Here is a 19,630-nt window from a genome sequence, read left to right on the forward strand (position 1 = left end):
TAAAGCAATATACCTCATTGCCTTTGTTTCTTCTTTATAATTTTCACAAGTGGTACCTTCTTCTCAAATAAAGTGACTGGTGTAAAGCTGATAAATGTGTTAATTTACTGAATGAGTGCTGTAAACAGAAAAGGTACAAAATAACAAGAATACATGTCTCTGTGAAGTCAATCATCCAATGAAGAAAAAAGGCAAACATGAATGAAAAAGACTTAATTAGTATATGAGTAGTATACTGGCATAAAAGCAGATACAATTTGCACAAGTATTTATGTGCTTAGAAAAGCAAGGCTGGCAAGTGGAAAAATCAAGTAGGCATCATTGAATGCCTTACTCAGGGAGATAAGGAGTTTTAATCAGGAGTTTTGAATAATGCGGGGTAATTAGAGAGCCACCATCATGTGGTAGAACAAGCTCTGGCCAAGAAATCGGAAGGATGTCATAGTCCCAGTTCTACAGTTGTGTGATGTTGAGCTAGTCTTTTACATTTTTAAATTCTGTTTTCTCACTTGCACAATTAAGGCCAGTCTTTATTTGTTTCTTTATGCTCCCACCTCCTTTGAGAAAGGATTAAATCACAGAAGATATACACGATTTCTTCTGTAGCAAACATTTAATGACTCTATAACTCAAAACCTCACAACCACAAAACACAAAAAGGAAATATTAACAAATGCAAATTGAAACCTACTATTATTAATAGGCAATCACTCTGTGTATGCAGCTCATAACTGTGAAATTATATAGAGATAAGATCCGATCAGAGTTCTAAGAGGTTGTATGTTGTCTCGAATTTCTCTGATGAGCTCTGCCAGGGGCACATCTCTGGTAAAACCATAGGGACCCAATCAGAGATGTTCGTGTGTTTGATGCAATGTTATTTTGCCCAGCAATTTCTTCATAGCATCTTTGACTTCCTTGTTTCTTAAACTGTAAATTATGGGGTTCAACATAGGGGTAAGCACTCCGTAAAGCAACGAGATGATTTTGTCTATTTTTTGTGCATTTGATGAAGAAGGCTTTAGGTACATAGAGAGGGCAGCCCCATAATACAAAATCACCACAGTCAAATGGGCACCACAGGTAGAAAAAGCCTTGTTTCTTCCCTCTGCTGAGGTGATTCTCAGAATAGTGGAAAGGATGAAGATGTAAGAGATGCAAACTAAGAGCATTGGAATTGGCAAGAGGAGAATGCTGACCACCAGCATGATGGTGTTCATGAGCAGTGAACTTGTGCAAGCTAACTTTAGCACCGCCAGAATTTCACACGTGAAGTGATCGATGAGATTCCCACAGAGGGGTATCTGCAGGGCAAAACTGGTTTCCAGCAGAGCGGTCAGGCAACCCGTCACCCAGGAGACCGTAGCCATCCGTGCACAGACGCACCTGTTCATGATGATGGAGTATCTCAGCGGGTTACAAATGGCCACATAACGGTCATATGCCATCACGGCCAGGAGCACACACTCTGTGGAGCCCATGGCAAGGGACAGATACATCTGTACAGCACACCCAGAAAAGATAATGGTTTTCTGGGATGACAGCAAGTTCACCAGCAAAGTAGGAACAGAGGCAGATGTGTAACAAATATCCATGAAAGAGAGATTTCCAAGGAATAAGTACATGGGGGTTTTAAGGCGTGAATCTAGGATAGTGATCAAAATAAGAGTGCTGTTGCCCAAGAGCGTTGTCAGATACATTACAAGGCTGAAGACGAAGAGAACCACTTCTAACCCTGGGTACTGGGAAAATCCCTCCAAGAAAAAAATGCTCCAAATGGTGAAGTTTTCTCCTTGCATTTTCTTTCTTTCATCTATATTTCTTCCAGTACTATTCCCTTCATTTAATCTGAGGACATAAAGAAATGAATAAAGTGTGATATTCATTTAGTTAGGAAAATACTCTCAAACTTATTTTCACTATTATAAATGCAATTTTACTACAAGAAATCACAGGATAGTGTGTTTATTGATGTAAGGGGGGGAGCAGGTTGATGTACATAAGTTGATTCTTCCACAACAAAATTTAGAAAACAGCAAATTTGAAAAAAGAATATACATATTTAATACTTGAAACTGAGCTCCTAAACCTATCCTTGGCACACAGTAGGTCTTTAATAAAGATTTGAAAGTGACCGAATGAGGAAAAATATGAATGTACATTGAAGAAGTTATTGAGCTCAAATCAGAAAAGTAATCCAGATAAGTGAGGAAAAGAAAGCTCAAATGTACAATAAAAAGCAATATTGATCTTCACTAAAAGAAGAGGAGGAACCTTGAAAGAAACAAATAAATTTTAGGCCGGGCACAGTGGCTCATGCCTGTAATCCCAGCACTTTGGGAGGCTGAGGCGGGTGGATTGCTTGAGCTCAGGAGTTTGACCAGCCTGGGCAACATGATGGTGAAATCCTATCTCTACGAAAAATACAAAAATTAGCCAGATGTGGTGGCGCACATCTGTGGTCCCAGCTACTCAGGAGGCTGAAGCTGAGACAGGGAGGCAGAGGTTGCAGTAAGCCGAGATTGCACCACTGCACTCCAACCTGGGTGACAGTGAGACTCTGTCTCAAAAAAAAGAAAAAAAAATTTAAACCAACTTCATAGTCGGAAGCTCTGGGTCTAAATGAACTCTGCCCTTTCCAGCTAACAGTTTGGGGGGGCTGTACACTGGTTTCAAAAAGGACAACAATGCTTGAAGCATTGTAGATACTAATTTGTGATTATATTTAAGAGCCAGTTTATGTCACACAATTTAATACTAATACGTTTAATACTAATACATCCACCGTACAATTTCATTCATTGTTGAGCCCCATATCTTTGTGAGTTTGTAAAGAGCTCTAAAAATTATAGCCAGGCAATATACGAAAACCCATATATCCAGGAAATGCAGAAACTAAACTCCCTTGGAAGATTACCATAAGATCTCTTTAAAAATAAGATTACAGAGCACATAGTTATAAATAAGTACATTGGAATTGGCAAGAGAAGAATGTTGACCCACCATCATGATCATATCCATGAGCAGTGAACTTGAGCAAACTAACTTTAGCACTTCCAGAATTTCACTTGTGATCAATGAGATTCCCACAGAGGGGTCGCTGCAGGGCAAAACTAGTTTCTAGCAGGACAGTCAGAAACTTAAAGTTGTATATTTTTTCCTTACATTTCACATTATTAACAAAAAATTATTACAAAAAACTTACCTTGCTTCTGCACTCATATTGCCTTTTAATAAACCTTCAACCGTTTTCTTTCTCCACTGAGTCTTTCCTATTTTCATATATACATGTTCTTAAAAATTGCTTTCATCTTATGAATTTCTCTGCCAAATTTTATATTTAATAGATTTCTCTAATAATAAAAAATTTATTAGATTATTATAAAACATTACTTCAAAGAAGCTTAATTTTTGTGCTACTCTTAAGACTAACAAGCACAAGTTTTTAAGTGAAAAAATCAGCCCAGTTACCTGAGATTTGATATTCAAAAGTATTTAATAGTAGCCAAGAAGAATTGGTCCTCCCATCTGAATTCCGTATCAGCAACTTCAAATAAAACGTTGTTTTATGATGCACTTCATAAAGTTAACTACGTCCAAGAAATAATAAATTAATTCATATTTTAAAATGTTAAATATTATGTACAAATCAATAGTGCGATTCATTTCTTTTGAAATTATTAACTCTTACCACCATAACTAAAAATACCAAAGGATAGCAACTGAAATATTAGGTAAATTTAAATCATTTATTGTTTTGGGGGAATATCTGTTGTCCCTGAACAATTTAAAGTTCAGGAGCTAAGATATATAGAGGTTTGAAATTTCAGATCCTTCAGGGATATTGTCCCAAAGATCCAATTATATCAAACTTTTAAAAAGTTAAATAGAGAGTGAACCACACAGTTCCTCCAAAATACTTTGGAAAAACTCAGAAAACAAAGTTTTCTATTCACTTTCTTCTTGTCAATCTTTAGCTATGTCAAGACTTTTTAATGAATGATTTCAGCGTAGAATACTTAACAGAATACAGAGAAAAGATGTCCCTACAATACTAAAATACATTTTGTGCATTTGTGAAATTACTCCCTGGTTTTCAGAAATTAGGGAAAGAACATTTACTTTTTAAAGCCACAGAGAAATCACTGACTGCCCCAACAAGTGATCAGAAATGTTATTTAATATACACATATTGAGAGGATTGTAAGGCAATGAGACCTCGGTAGTAATGGGCACATCCTAGATCTTTGCTTTGTTTTGTTTTGTTTTTAAGACAGAGTCTGGCTCTGTCGCCCAGGCTGGAGTGCAGTAGCACGATCTCAGCTCACTGCAACCACCACCTCCCAGGTTCAAGGGATTCTCCTGCCTCAGCCTCCTGAGTAGCTGGGACTACAGGCATGTGCCACCACGCTGGGCTAATTTTTGTATTTTTGGTAGAGACAGGGTTTCACCATGTTGGCCAGACTGGTCTCGAACTCCTGAGCTCAAGCAATCCACTCACCTCAGCCTCCCAAAGTGCTGGGATTACAGGCGTAAGCCACCACCCCCGGCCCCAGATATTAGTTTCTAAACACCATTCTTAACTAGAAGGAAACATGGCTCCTTGGGAAAATGACTAATACCAGAGCTAGGATAAGAAAGAACAAGATTAACTTAGAGTATCTTACCATACCAGAAAGTAAGAAATATGCAAAGAATGGTAGGAATATAGCAAAGGGTCATAGACGCCCACTTGATGAAGCTCCCATTGCTAAATTTAGGACAGATTATTTGGAGCATCAAAATAAAAATGATAATAATTGATCATAATTCATAGAATAATATAAAAATGTACGTTATTATATAAATAAATAGGAATAGAAAGCTCTTCTTCACAGTAGGATGCCAAAAAATATAAATTTAGAGGAATGATGTTAGAAAATAATCAATCACAGTTAAGGGTTTTGTAGGCAATAGATTACCACAGGTAAAATGTTGTATTAGGTTAATGTAGGCAGTGTCGTTTTTGAAGGTAAAAGTTGGATGAACAGTATATTTACATGGTGTCAAAATATCTCACCACAAATTACTTAGTAAGTTTAAAGATAAAATAATAACTTTATGGTGGGGAGGCCTGAAGGATAATCATGTTAAAATCACCAATATTGGGACAAATAGACTCCATGTGCCTTCTAATATGAGGTACTGAGAACACACTATCACTTCTGAGGTATTCCCATCAAAATTAAATCACCAGAATCTAACCATGAGTGTAAACCAGACAAACCTAAATTTAGGGATATTATGCAACATAATCAGCCTATGCTTTCCAAAAGTACAGACAATTCTCAAAAAAGGATATACAAATGGCCACAAAACATATGAAAAAATGTTCAACATCACTAATTATCAGGGAAATGCAAATCAAACCCACAGTGCAGTACCACCTTACTCCTGCAAGAAGGGCCTTAATCAAAAAATAATAGATGTCGGCATGGATGGGATGAAAGGGGAACACTTTTACACTGCTGGTAGGAAGGTAAACTAGTACAACCACTATGGAAAACAGTGTGAAGACTCCTTAAAGAACTAAAAGTAGATCTACCATTTAATCCAGCAATCCCACTCCTGAGTATCTACCCAGAGGAAAAGAAGTCATCATACAAAAAAGATACTTGCACACATGTTTATAGCAGCACAATTCGCAATTGCAAAAATATGGAATCAGCCCAAATGCCCAACAATCAATGAGCAGATAAAGAAAATGTGAGATAGATAGATATACATACACACACACACCATGGAATACTACTCAGCCACAAAAAGAAACAAAATAAAGGCATTTGCAGCAACCTAGATGGAATTGGAGATCATTATTCTAAGTGAAGTAACTCAGGAATGGAAAATCAAACATGCTATGTTCTCGCTCTCTCACTCATAAGTGGGAGCTAAGCTATGAGGATGCAAAGGCATAAGAATGACACAATGGACTCTGGGGACTCAGGGGAAAGGATGCGAGGCTGGGGAACAAAAGACAACGTATTGGGGATAATGTACACTGGTGGGTGTACCAAAATCTCAGGAATCACCACTAAAGAACTTACCCATGTAGCCAAACACTACCAGTTCCCCCAAGACCTACTGAAATAAAAAAGAAGAAATCATAAAATAAAAAACTCCTAATTAAAAAAAAAAAGTGTCACAATCAGGAAACAAAAAGAAAAACCAAGAAAATGTTCCATACCTGAAAGAGACAGGACAACTAAATATGATACATGCCCCAGCATGAATCTTAGATTAGGAAAAATGGTCTGTAAAGGACATTATTAGGACAATTGACAACATTTGAAAATGGGCTGGGGATTAGATATTAGCATTCTATCAATATCATATTTCCTGATCTTGATCACTGTACTATGGTTATGTAAGATAATGCTCTTATTCTTAGGAAATACACACTGAAGCATTTAGTGTTAAAAGGGCAAAATGTCTCCAACTTACCCTCAAATCATTGGTAAAAATATTTTTTTAAAAGTTGTGTGTGGAGAGAAAATGCACTTATTGCCACATACTTTTTGCAAGTAATGCCTTCTCCATATTTTCTGTGTCCTTATGACAGTTCATTTACTCTGGATCACTGATGGCAAACGTCCAGAAAGAAGACCCTCAGAAGAACTTGGTCCTACCACATGAATAGGCAAATTGTTTCCTTCTTAGGAAAAGAAGAAACAACAACTATATTGAATAATATAAAATATAAAATAGAGCTAATTAAATGGTAGGATTATATTTTGGGGATAATGGGCTAGAGTGGCCCATACAGCATGAGCTTGGAATAGTGAAACTGGCTAAATCCAATAGGCTTGTTTGATTGTAAAACATAGGAAACATGATAACTAATGACTTGAAGTTTTAATAATATTAATCTTGAAACTTTATTTTTCTAAAAGTCAGCACTCACGACAAATCCCTCCCACCACCAGGCAACAAGACAACAAGAATTTTATAAGAAAATTGACAATGAGATGACCGTCTATGTAGAAAATCTGAAAGAATCAACAAAAACCTGCTGGAACTAAGAATAAGCAATTCCCAATAAGGTTTCAGGACACAGGGTTAATGTACAAAAGTCACTTGCTCTCCTGTATACCAGCAAAGAAGAAATGGAATTTGCAATTAAAAACACAACATTGTTTACACTAGGATCCCTCCCCCACAATGATATACTTGAGCATGAATCTAACAAAATATGTGTATAATCTATATAAGGAAAACTATAAAACTCTGATAAATGAAATCAAAGAAGAACTAAATAAATGGAGAAATATTTCATGTTCTTGGATGCTAGGAAGACAATATTGTCAAGAAATCAGCTCTTTCCAAACGGGCCTGGCAAGATGGCCAAATAGGAGCAGCTCTGGTCTGCAGCAACCAGCGAGATCAACCCAGAAGGCAGGTGATTTCTGCATTTCCAACTGAGGTACCCGGCTCATCTCACTGGGACTGGTTAGACAGTGGGTGCAGCCCAGGGAGGGGAGCCGGAGCAGGGTGGGGTGTCGCCTCACTCAGGAAGCACAAGGGGTTGGCAAACTCCCTCCACTAGCCAAGGGAAGCTGTGAGGGATCATACTGTGAGGAATGGTGCACTCCAGCCCAGATACTACACTATTCCCACAGTCTTTGCAACCTGCAGACCAGGAGATTCCCTCAGGTGCCTACGCCACCAGGGCCCTGGGTTTCAAGCACAAAACTGGGCGGCTGTTTGGGCAGACACCAACCTAGCTGCAGGAGTTTTTTTTCATACCCCAGTGGCACCTGGAACTCCAGTGAGACAGAACCATTCACTCTCCCTGGAAAGGGGGCTGAAGCCAGGGAGCCAAGTGGTCTAGCTCAGCGGATCTCACCCCCATGGAGCCCAGCAAGCTAAGATCCACTGGCTTGAAATTCTCACTGCCAGCACAGCAGTCTTAACCTGGGATGCTCAAGCTTGATGGGGGAGGGGGGTCCACCATTACTGAGGCTTGAGTAGGTGGTTTTCCCCTCACAGTGTAAACAAAGCCGCCAGGAAGTTCAGACTGGGCGGAGCCCACCACAGCTCATAAGTCACTATAGCCAGACTGCCTCTCTAGATTCCTCCTTTCTGGGCAGGGCATCTCTGAAAGAAAGGCAGCAGCCCCAGTCAGGGTCTTATAGATAAAACTCCCATCTCCCTGGGACAGAGCACCTGGGGGAAGAGGTGACTGTGGGTGCAGTTTCAGCTGACTTAAACATTCCTGCCTGCCAACTCTGAATGAGCAGCGGATCTCCCAGCACAGCACTGGAGCTTTGCTAAGGGACAGACTGCCTCCTCAAGTGGGTCCCTGATCCCCGTGCCTCCTGACTGGGAGACACCTCCCAGGAGGGGTCAACAGACACCTCATACAGGAGAGCTCTGGCTGACATCTGTTGGGTGCCCCTCTGGGACGAAGCTTCCAGAGGAAGGAACAGGCAGCAATCTTTGCTGTTCTGCAGCCTCCGCTGGTGATACCCAGGAAAACAGGGTCTGGAGTGGACCTCCAGCAAACTCCAGCAGACTTGCAGCAGAAGGGCCTGACTGTTAGAAGGAAAAATAACAAACAGAAAGGAATAGCATCAACATCAACAAAAAGGATGTCCACACAGAAACCCCATCGGTAGGTCACCAACATCAAAGACCAAAGGTAGATAAATCCACAAAGATGAGGAAAAACCAGCACAAAAAGGCTGAAAATTCCAAAAACCAGAATGCGTCTTCTCCTCCAAAGGATCACAACTCCTTGCCGGCAACGGAACAAAGCTGGATGGAGAATGACTTTAAGAGCTGACAGAAGTAGGCTTCAGAAGGTCGGTAATAACAAACTTCTCTGAGCTAAAGGAGGATGCTCTAACCCAATGCAAAGAAGCTAAGAACCTTGAAAAAAAAGTTAGAGGAATTGCTAACTAGAATAACCAATATAGAGAAGAACATAAATGACCTGATGAAGCTAAAACATATAGCATGAGAACTTCATGAAGCATACATAAGTATAAATAGCCAAATCGATCAAGCAGAAGAAAGAATATCAGAGATTAAAGATCAACTTAATGAAATAAAGCATGAAGACAAGATTAGAGAAAAAAGAATGAAAAGGAACAAACAGAGCTTCCAAGAAATATGGGACTATGTGAAAAGACCAAACCTATGTTTCATTGGTATACCTGAAAGTGACAGGGAGAATGGAACAAAATTGGAAAACACTCTTCAGGATATTATCCAGGAACTTCCTCAACCTAGCAAGATAGGCCAACATTCAAATTCAGGAAGTTCAGAGAACACCACAAAGATACTCCTCGAGAAGAACAACCCCAAGACACATAATCATCAGATTTACCAAGGTTGAAATGAAGGAAAAACTGTTAAGCACAGCCAGAGACAAAGGTCAGGTTACCCACAAAAGGAAGCCCATCAGACTAACAGTAGATCTCTCTGCAGAAACCCTACAAGCCAGAAGAGAGTGGGGGCCAATATTCAACATTCTTAAAGAAAAGAATTTTCAACCCCGAATTTCATATCCAGCCAAACTAAGCTTCATAAGCGAAGGAGAAATAAAATCCTTTATAGATGAGCAAATGCTGAGAGATTTTGTCACCACCAGGCCTGCCTTACAAGAGTTCCTGAAGGAAGCACTAAAAATGGAAAGGAACAACCAGTACCAGCCACTGCAAAAACATACGAAATTGTAAAGACCATCAACACTACAAAGAAACTGCATCAATTAACAGGCAAAACAACCAGCTAGCATGCAAATACTCATTATTGGACAGGAAAAATGATTAATCCTAGTTGTCCTGGAGGACTTGGAGCCACTGTCTGTTGGGCTTACTTCACCCATACTGGTATGTCTGATGGGGGTGGAGTTCAAGATCAGGCAAGAGAAAAACACATAAAGGAAGTAATCTCCTAACTGACCCAGGTATATAGCACCCCTAGCTCCTACAAAGGACTAGATCTCTCAAAACTACATGAAACCCTCCGTACCCATACTCGCCTGGTAAACCTATTTAATACCACACTCACTGGGCTCCATGAGGTCTCAGACCAAAACCCTACTAACTGTTGCATGTGCCTCCCCCTGCACTTCAGGTCATACATTTCAATCCTGGTACCTGAACAGTGGAACAACTTCAGCACAGAAATAAACACCACTTCCATTTTAGTAGGACCTCTTGTTTCCAATCTGAAAATAATCCATACCTTAAACCTCACCTGTGTAAAATTTAGCAGTACTATAGAAACAACCAACTCCCAATGCATCAGGTGGATAACTCCTCCCACATGAATAGTCTGCCTACCCTCAGGAATATTTTTTGTCTGTGGTACCTCAGCCTATCGTTGTTTGAACGGCTCTTCAGAATCTATGTGCTTCCTCTCATTCTTATTGCCCCCTATGACCATCTACACTGAACAAAATTTATACAATCATGTCGTACCTAAGCCCTGCAACAAAAGAGTACCCATTCTTCCTTATGTTATTGGAGCAGGAGTGCCAGGTGGACTAGGTACTGGCACTGGCAGTATCACAATCTCTACTCAGTTCTACTACAAACTATCTCAAGGACTAAATGATGACATGGAACAGGTCGCCGACTCCCTGGTCACCTTGAAAGATCAACTTAACTCCCTAGCAGCAGTAGTCCTTCAAAATCAAAGAGCTTTAGACTTGCTAACTGCCAAAAGAGGGGGATCCTGTTTATTTTTAGGGGAAGAATACTGTTATTATGTTAATCAATCTGGAATTGTCACCGAGAAAGTTAAAGAAATTCAAGATACAATATAACGTAGAGCAGAGGAGCTTAAAAACACTGGACCCTGGGGCCTCCTCAGCCAATGGATGCCCTGGATTCTCCCCTTCTTAGGACCTCTAGCAGCTGTAATATTGCTACTCCTCTTTGGACCCTGTATCTTTAACCTCCTTGTTAAGTTTTTCTCTTCCAGAATTGAAGCTGTAAAACTACAAATGGCTCTTCAAATGGAGCCCCAGATGCAGTCCATGACTAAGATCTACTGCAAACCCCTGGACTGGCCTGCTAGCCATGCTCCGATGTTAATGACATCAAAGGCACCCCTCTCAAGGAAATCTCAGCTGCACAACCCCTACTATGCCCCAATTCAGCAGTAAGCAGTTAGAGCGGTTATCAGCCAACCTCCCCAACAGCACTTGGGTTTTCCTGTTGAGAGGAGGCACTGAGAGACAGGACTAGCTGGATTTCCTAGGCCAACTAAGAATCCCTAAGCCTAGCAGGGAAGGTGACCACATCCACCTTTAAACATAGGGCTTGCAACTTAGCTCACACCCGACCAATCAAATTGTAAAGAGAGCTCACTAAAATGCTAATTAGGCAAAAATAGGAGGTAAAGAAATAGCCAATCATCTATTGCCTAAGAGCACAGTGGGAGGGACAATGATCGGGATATAAACCCAGGCATTCGAACCAGCAACAGCAACCCCCTTTGGGTCCCCTCCCTTTGTATGGGAGCTCTGTTTTCACTCTATTAAATCTTGCAACTGAAAAAAAAAAAAAAAAACAGCTAGCATCATAATGATAGAATCAAATTCACACATAACAATATTAACCTTAAATGTAAACAGGCTAAATGCCCCAGTTAAAAGACACAGACTGGCAAATTGGATAAAGAGTCAAGAGCCATCAGTGTGCTGTATTCAGAAGACCCATCTCATGTCCAAAGACATACATAGGCTCAAAATAAAGGGATGGAGGAAGATTTACCAAGCAAATGGAAAGCAAAAAAAAAAGCAGGGCTTGCAATCCTAGTCTCTGATAAAACAGACTTTAAACCAACAAATATCAAAAAAGATAAACAAAGGCATTACATAATGGTAACAGGATCAATGCAACAAGAAGAGCAAACTATCCTAAATATATATGCACCCAATACAGGTGCACCCAGATTCATAAAGCAAGTTCTTAGAGACCTACAAAGAGATTTAGACTCCCACACAATAATAGTGGGAGACTTTAACACCCCACTGTCAATATTAGACAGATTAGCGAGACAGAAAATTAACAAGGATATTCAGGACTTGAACTCAATTCTGGACCAAGCAGATCTAATAGACATCTACAGAACTCTCCACCCCAAATCAACAGAATATACATTTTTCTGAGCACCACATTGCACTTATTCTAAAATTGACCACATAATTGGAAGTAAAACACTCCTCAGTAAATGCAAAAGAACGGAAATCATAACAAACAGTCTCTCAGACCACAGTGCGATCAAATTAGAACTCAGGATAAAGAAACTCACTCAAAGCCGCACAACTACATGGAAACTGAACAAGCTGCTCCTGATTGACTACTGGGTAAATAACAAAATTAAGGCAAAAATAAATAAGTTCTAGGAAACGAATGAGAACAAAGATACAACATACCAGAATCTCTGGGACACATTTAAAGCAGTGTGTAGAGGGAAATTTATAGCACTAAATGCCCACAAGAGAAAGCAGAAAAGATCTAAAATTGACACCCTAACATCACAATTAAAAGAACTAGAGAAGCAAGAGCAAACAAATTCAAAAGCTAGCAGAAGACAAGAAATAACTAAGATCAGAGCAGAACTGAAGGAGATAGAGACACGAAAAACCCTTCAAAAAATCAATAAATCCAGGAGCTGGTTTTTCGAAAAGAAAAACAAAATAGATAGACCATTAGCCAGACTAAGAAAGAGATAAGAATTAAATAGACACAATAAAAAATGATAAAGGGGATATCACTACTGATCCCACAGAAATACAAACTACCATCAGAGAATACTATAAACACCTTGATGCAAATAAACTAGAAAATCTAGAAGAAATAGATAAATTTCTGAACATATACACCCTCCCAAGACTAAACCAGGAAGAAGTCAAATCCCTGAATAGACCAATAACAAGTTCTGAAAATGAGGCAGTAATTAATAGCCTACCAACCAAAAAAAGCCCAGGACCAGACAGATTCACAGCAGAATTCTACCAGAGGTACAAAAAGGAGTTGGTACTATTCCTTCTGAAACTATTCCAAACAATAGCAAAAGAGGGACTCCTCCCTAACTCATTTTATGAGGCCAGCATCATCCTGATACCAAAACCTGGCAGAGACACAACAAAAAAGAAAATTTCAGGCCAATATCCCTAATGAACATCGATGCAGAAATCCTCAATAAAATACTGGCAAACCAAATCCAGCAGCACATCAAAAAGCTTATCCACCACGATCAAGTCGGCTTCACCTCTGGGATGCAAGACTAGTTTAACATATGCAAATCAATCAACGTAATCAATCACATAAACAAAACCAATGACAAAAACCACATGATTATTTCAATAGATGCAGAAAAGGCCTTTGATAAAATTCAACACCCCTTCATGTTAAAAACTCTCAATAAACTAGGTATTGATGGAACATATCTCAAGATAATAAGAGCTATTTATGACAAACCCACAGCCAATATCATATTGAATGGGCAAAAGCTGGAAGCATTCCCTTTGAAAGCCAGCACAAGAGAAGAATGCCCTCTCTCACCACTCCTATTCAACATAGTATTGGCAGTTCTGTCCAGGGCGATCAGGCAAGAGAAAGAAATAAAGTGTATTCAAATAGGAAGAGAGGAATTCAAATTGTCTCTGTTTGCAGATGACATGATTGTATATTAAGAAAACCCCATCATCTCAGTCCCAAATCTCCTTAAGCTGATAAACAACTTCAGCAAAGTCTCAGGATACAAAATCAATGTGCAGAAATCACAAGCATTCCTATACACCAATAATAGACAAACAGAGTACCAAATCATGAGTGAACTCCCATTCACAATTGCTACAAAGAGAATAAAATACCTAGGAATACAACTTACAAGGGATGTGAAGGACCTCTTCAAGGAGAACTACAAACCAGTGCTCAAGAAAATAAGAGAGGACAGAAACAAATGGAAAAACATTCCATGCTCATGGATAGGAAGAATCAATAACATGAAAATGGCCATATGGCCCAAAGTAATTCATAGATTCAATGCTATCCCCATCAAGCTACCATTGACTTTTTTCAGAGAATTAGAAAAAACTAATTTAAATTTCATATGGAACCAAAAAAGAGCCCACATAGCCAAGACAATCAATCCTAAGCAAAAAGAACAAAGGTGGGGGCATCACGCTACCTGACTTCAAACTATACCACAAGTCTACAGTAACCAAAACAGCATGGTACTGGTACCAAAATAGACATATAGACCAATGGAACAGAACAGAGGCCTCAGAAATAACATCACACATCTACAACCATCTGATCTTTGACAAACCTGACATAAACAAGCAATGGGGAAAGGATTCCCTATTTAACAAATGGTATTGGGAAAACTGGCTGGCCATATGCAGAAAACTGAAACCGGACCCCTTCCTTACACCTTATACAAAAATTAACTCAAGATGCATTAAAGACTTTAACATAAGACCTAAAACCGACCAGGCACAGTGGCTCATGCCTGTAATCCCAGCACTTTGGGAGGCCAAGGTGGGCGGATCACGAAGTCAGGAGATAGAGACCACGGTGAAACCCCATCTCTACTAAAAATACAAAAAATTAGCCAGGCACAGTGGCAGGCGCCTGTAGTCCCAGCTACTCGGGAGGCTGAGGCAGGAGAATGGCATGAACCCGGGAGGCAGAGCTTGCAGTGAGCCGAGATTGCGCCACTGCACTCCAGCCTCCAGCCTGGGCAACAGAGCGAGACTCCATCTCAAAAAAAAAAAAAAAAAAAAGACCTAAAACCATAAAAACCCCAGAAGAAAACCTAGGCAATACCATTCAGGACATAGGCATGGGCAAAGACTTCATGATTAAAACACCAAAAGCAATGGCAACAAAAGCCAAAATTGACAAATGAGGTCTAATTAAACTAAAGAGCTTCTGCACAGCAAAAGAAACTATCATCAGAGTGAACAGGCAACCTATAGAATGGGAGAAAATTTTTGCAATCTATCCATCTGACAAAGGGCTAATATCCAGAATCTACAAAGAACTTAAACAAATTTACAAGAAAAAAACAACCCCAGCAAAAAGTGGGCAAAAGATATGAACAGACACTTCTCAAAAGAAGACATTTATGTGGCCAACAGACATATGAAAAAATACTCATCATCACTGGTCATCAGAGAAATGCAAATGCAAATCAAAACCACAATGAGATACCATCTCACGGCAGTTAGAATGGCAATCATTAAAAAGTCAGGAAACAACAGATGTTGCAGAGGATGTGGAAAATAGAAACACGTTTACTCTATTGGTGCAAGTGTAAATTAACTCAACCATTGTGGAAGACAGTGTGGCGATTCCTCAAGGATCTAGAACCAGAAATACCACTTGACCCAGCAATCCCATTACTGGGTATATACCCAAAGGATTATAAATCATTCTACTATAAAGACACATACACACATACGTTTATCGCAGCACTGTTCACAATAGCAAAAGACTTGGAACCAACCCAAATGCCCACCAATGATAGACGGGATAAAGAAAATGTGGCACATATACACCATGGAATACTATGCAGCCATAAATGGATGAGTTCATGTCCTTTGTAGGGACATGGATGAAGCTGGAAATCATCATTCTCAGCAAACTAACACAGGAACAGAAAACCAAACACCACATGTTCTCACTCATAAGTGGGAGCTGAACAATGAGAACACATGGACACAGGGAGGGGAACATTACACACCGGGGCCTGTTGGGGGTGGGCGCTAGGGAGGGATAGCATTAGCAGAAATACCTAATGTAGATGACAAGTTGATGGGTGCAGCAAACCACCATGGCACATGTATACCTATGTAACAAACCTGCACGTTCTGCACAGGTATCCCAGAACTTAAAGTATAATAAAAAAAAAAAAAAGAAAGAAAGAAATCAGCTCTTTCCAAGATGAGCTATAGATTTGATAACAATCCCAATCAAAATCATGGGAAGTTCTTTTGTAGATAACAATAAATTGACTCTAAAACTTTTATGCAAAATGGTACAGCCACTTTAGAAGACAGTTTGGCAGTTTCTTTCTTACAAAGCCAGACATACTCTTACCACATGATCCAGCAATTGTGCCCATTGGTGTTTACCCAAAGGAGTTGAATACATGTCTATACAAAAAATGTGCACAAGGATGTTTGTAGAAGCTTTTTTCTTAATTCCCAAAACTTTGAAACAACCAAGATGACCTTTAGTAGGTGAATGGATAAACGATGGTATGTGCAGCCAGCAGAACATTATTCAGCACTCAAAAGATATTAGCTATTAAGCCCTGAAAAAAAGATATGGCGGATGAGTTTCAAGTCAAGGCTAAATGAAAAGAAAAAAAAAAAGACACGAGGGAAACTGAAATGCATATTACTCAGTGAAAGAAGCCAATCTGAAAAGGCTACATACCGTATGATTCCAACTATATGATATTCTAGAAAAGGCAAAATATGGCGACAGTAAAAAGATCAGTGGATGACAGGACTTGGGAGTAAGAAGAGGGATGAATAGGAGGAGCACAGAAGATTTTTAGGACAGTGAAAATACTCCCTATTATACTATAATAATGGGTACAAGTCATTATAAATTTTCTAAAATCCATAGACTGTACACCACCAAAAGTGAACCCTACGGCAAACTATGGACTTTGGACGATTATGGTGTGACGATATTGGTTCATCTATTGTAACAAATGTACCACCCTGGAGGGGGATGTTGATAACTGAGGAGGCTATGGATGTGTAGGGGCACAGAGTATATGAGAAATCTCTCAATTTTGCTGTGAACCTAAAACTGCCTTAAAAAATAAAATCTTAAAAAATAATAATTACAAGAATATGTTGGTGAACATTAAGCTAACTTTAAGATAAAGTAATAATTTTCATATCAACAACTGTCATTTATTGAATGCTCACCACATGCCAAAGTATTATGCAAAGCATTTTATAGATTCTTTCTGTAAAATTATATGATGTAGGAAAAATTAACATCTCAATATTATGAAAAGCGAATAAGCTGGGCAAAGGATGCATTGTGTCAAGGCCACAGAGCTAGCAAGTTTAAGTTAGAATTTGAAAACCAAGTCTGTATATCTCTAAACCTGGCCTCATCATCACCTAAGGTTGCTTTGGTTGGTTCCTTGGTTGGTTGGTTTGCTTTTCTCTTTAAAGACAGGGTCAGGCTTGAGCGCAGTGGCGCAATCACTGCTCGCTGTAACCTCAAACTCCTGGGCTCAAGTGATCCTCCTGCCCTGGCCTCCCGAGTAGCTGGGACTACAGGTGAGGGCCATCATGCCCAGATAATTTTTTAAAAAGTTTTTAGAGATTAGGTCTTGCTATGTTGCCCAGGGTGGTCTTAAACTCCTGTTCTCAAGCAGGGTTGGTTGTGCTTAATGGAAATAAAAGAGTTATTATGTGTAAAGTTCTTAGAGCAGTGTCTGGCCCTGTATGACCATGAGCAGTTATGTATTCAGCTCTTGGCTAAGAACGTGGACTCTTCACCGTGTGCCCCACTGCTTGGTTACTTAGCGTTTTCTTGAAAGCTCTGTGCCTTAGTTTACTCATCTACGAATGAGTATAATAATAGTATTTTCATTATGTAATTATTAGAGGACTAAAATATCTAATAGAGAAGTACTTAAAATGGTGTCAGGAACAGGGCAAGGGCTGTGTCAATAAGCGCTACTACTAATTGTTGTGTCTATTTCCCATCATCAAAGAGTGAAAACGGGAAGCAACATAAATGTCCAACAAAGGAGAATGATGGATTTAAAAATTATAACCAAATATTGGGATACTATTTGATCATTAAAAAGCATGGTTTGGAAGAGTATGTAAAGACAAAAGATAATTCTCACAATACAATGTAAAATAAAAAGCAAGATTCGCAAATGTCAGTAGAATGTTTTTTGGTGTTTGTTTTGTTCTGTTTTGTTTTTAAATCAAAGATGGTCACTATCGGTAGAATGTTTTTAATTTTTTTATATAGTATTTGTGTGGTTGTACATACAAACATATATACACATACAATGATAATGTGCAGAAAACAGATAATGAAATAAATATTCATAATGGTAAAAAAATTGACAATCAGATGTTAAATAGGAATAGTCACAAACATTGAAGAAAAGCATGTAAAATTATCACTAGTAAACTATATGATTTTATAACTAAAAAAGAACAAGAGAATCAACTAAAATGTTCCCCAGAAGTGAAAAGAGTTTAGTAAAGTAGCCTAATAAAAGAAATAAATAAAAACCAATCATTTTCTTGCAGCCATTTGGACGATATGGTAACCAGAAAAATATTCCATTATCAGTGGCATTAAAAATGTGAGCTACTGGCCAGGCACGGTGGCTCATGCCTGTAATCCCAGCACTTTGGGAGGCTGAGGTGGGTGGATCACAAGGTCAGGAGTTTGAGACCAGCCTGGCCAATATGGTGAAACCTTATCTCTACTAAAAATACAAAAATTAGCCGGGCGTGGTGGCAAGTGCCTGTAGTCCCAGCTACTCAGGAGGCTGAGGCAGGAGAATAGCTTGAACTCGAGAGGCAGAGATTGCAGTGAGCCACCAAGATCGCACCATTGCACTCCAGCCTGGGTGACAGAGTGAGACTCCATCACAAAAAAAAAAAAAGTAAGCTATGTTAGAATCACTCAAACGAGAACAGTGCAGAACTTACATAAAAGGAACAATAAAATTTTAATAACAGGAGTACCCTAGCCAATAAACTGGTTGAATACCGATGCAAAATCTAGAGTCTATCTCTCTAAACGTGCATTATTTTTATCAATAAATGAAAATAATTCTTTCCTGATGAAACAAAAAAATGCTATATTAAAATGAAACCTTCAGAACTAAGCAGGTGTTTCCCTAAAAGATTATAGAGATAAATGAGTCTTTTGAGTATTTCTCACAAAACCAAACAAAATAACTTAAAGGAAAAAAATGCTATGTAATAACAAAACGTATACTTCAGCCACTTCACCTTTCAGAAGAGTGGCACGAGGATCTCCCCTCTGAGTTATGTGGCTCTTTTATTTAGGAAAACACCTCAAGGGATCTGTTTTATTATGAAAGCAGGCCCTGGGCTAGTTCAAATGGGGAAAGATATTGATAAAGATAACTAAATTATTCTATTTAATACTGATCTTATAGGATTTTAACATTCATTTCTGGCTTCTTGAGGAGAAGCTTGGGACACTGGGAGAGAAAGTAGAGAGGGAATTAGAAAGAGAAGAAGCAGCCCAGAAACCTTGCAGGAATAGGGAATCCAAAGACACTAACAAGAGGCAGGGAAAGGAAAGGTCCATAAAAACAGTGAGGACTCACATTGAAATTTAGGTTGCTGGCTGCTTTCAACTATTCTCTATTCCCCTGTCTGTCATTCCCAAACCTTCAGGTAAAGTCATACAAATACAACGGTCTTGGATAATGGAGCTTTGATTACAGAAGAACAGGACTAGCTACCAGAATGGAGGACTTTTAGGTGCAAGGCACTTAGGGACATCTCTGTTCAGTCATTAGCTGATCACCCAGCTAACTGAGCAGAGACTTCCATGGTCACATATAAAAAAGAATTGAAGACTTT

General features: G+C 39.2%; 1 protein-coding gene across 1 annotated transcript; it reads right to left on the minus strand.

Annotated features, from left to right (window-relative positions):
• Positions 1–594: 594 nt before the first annotated feature.
• On the minus strand, positions 595–3,590 carry OR2K2 (olfactory receptor family 2 subfamily K member 2). The gene is made up of 2 exons (NM_205859.2): positions 3,472–3,590; positions 595–1,848 (listed from the first exon to the last, which is right to left on the minus strand). Exon 2 carries the CDS (start codon positions 1,797–1,799, stop codon positions 849–851), a length of 951 nt encoding a protein of 316 aa, NP_995581.1. The 5' UTR covers positions 1,800–1,848; positions 3,472–3,590; the 3' UTR covers positions 595–848.
• Positions 3,591–19,630: the final 16,040 nt, after the last annotated feature.

This window comes from Homo sapiens, chromosome 9 (genome assembly GCF_000001405.40).
Source record: "Homo sapiens chromosome 9, GRCh38.p14 Primary Assembly".
Taxonomy (NCBI): Eukaryota; Metazoa; Chordata; class Mammalia; order Primates; family Hominidae; genus Homo; species Homo sapiens.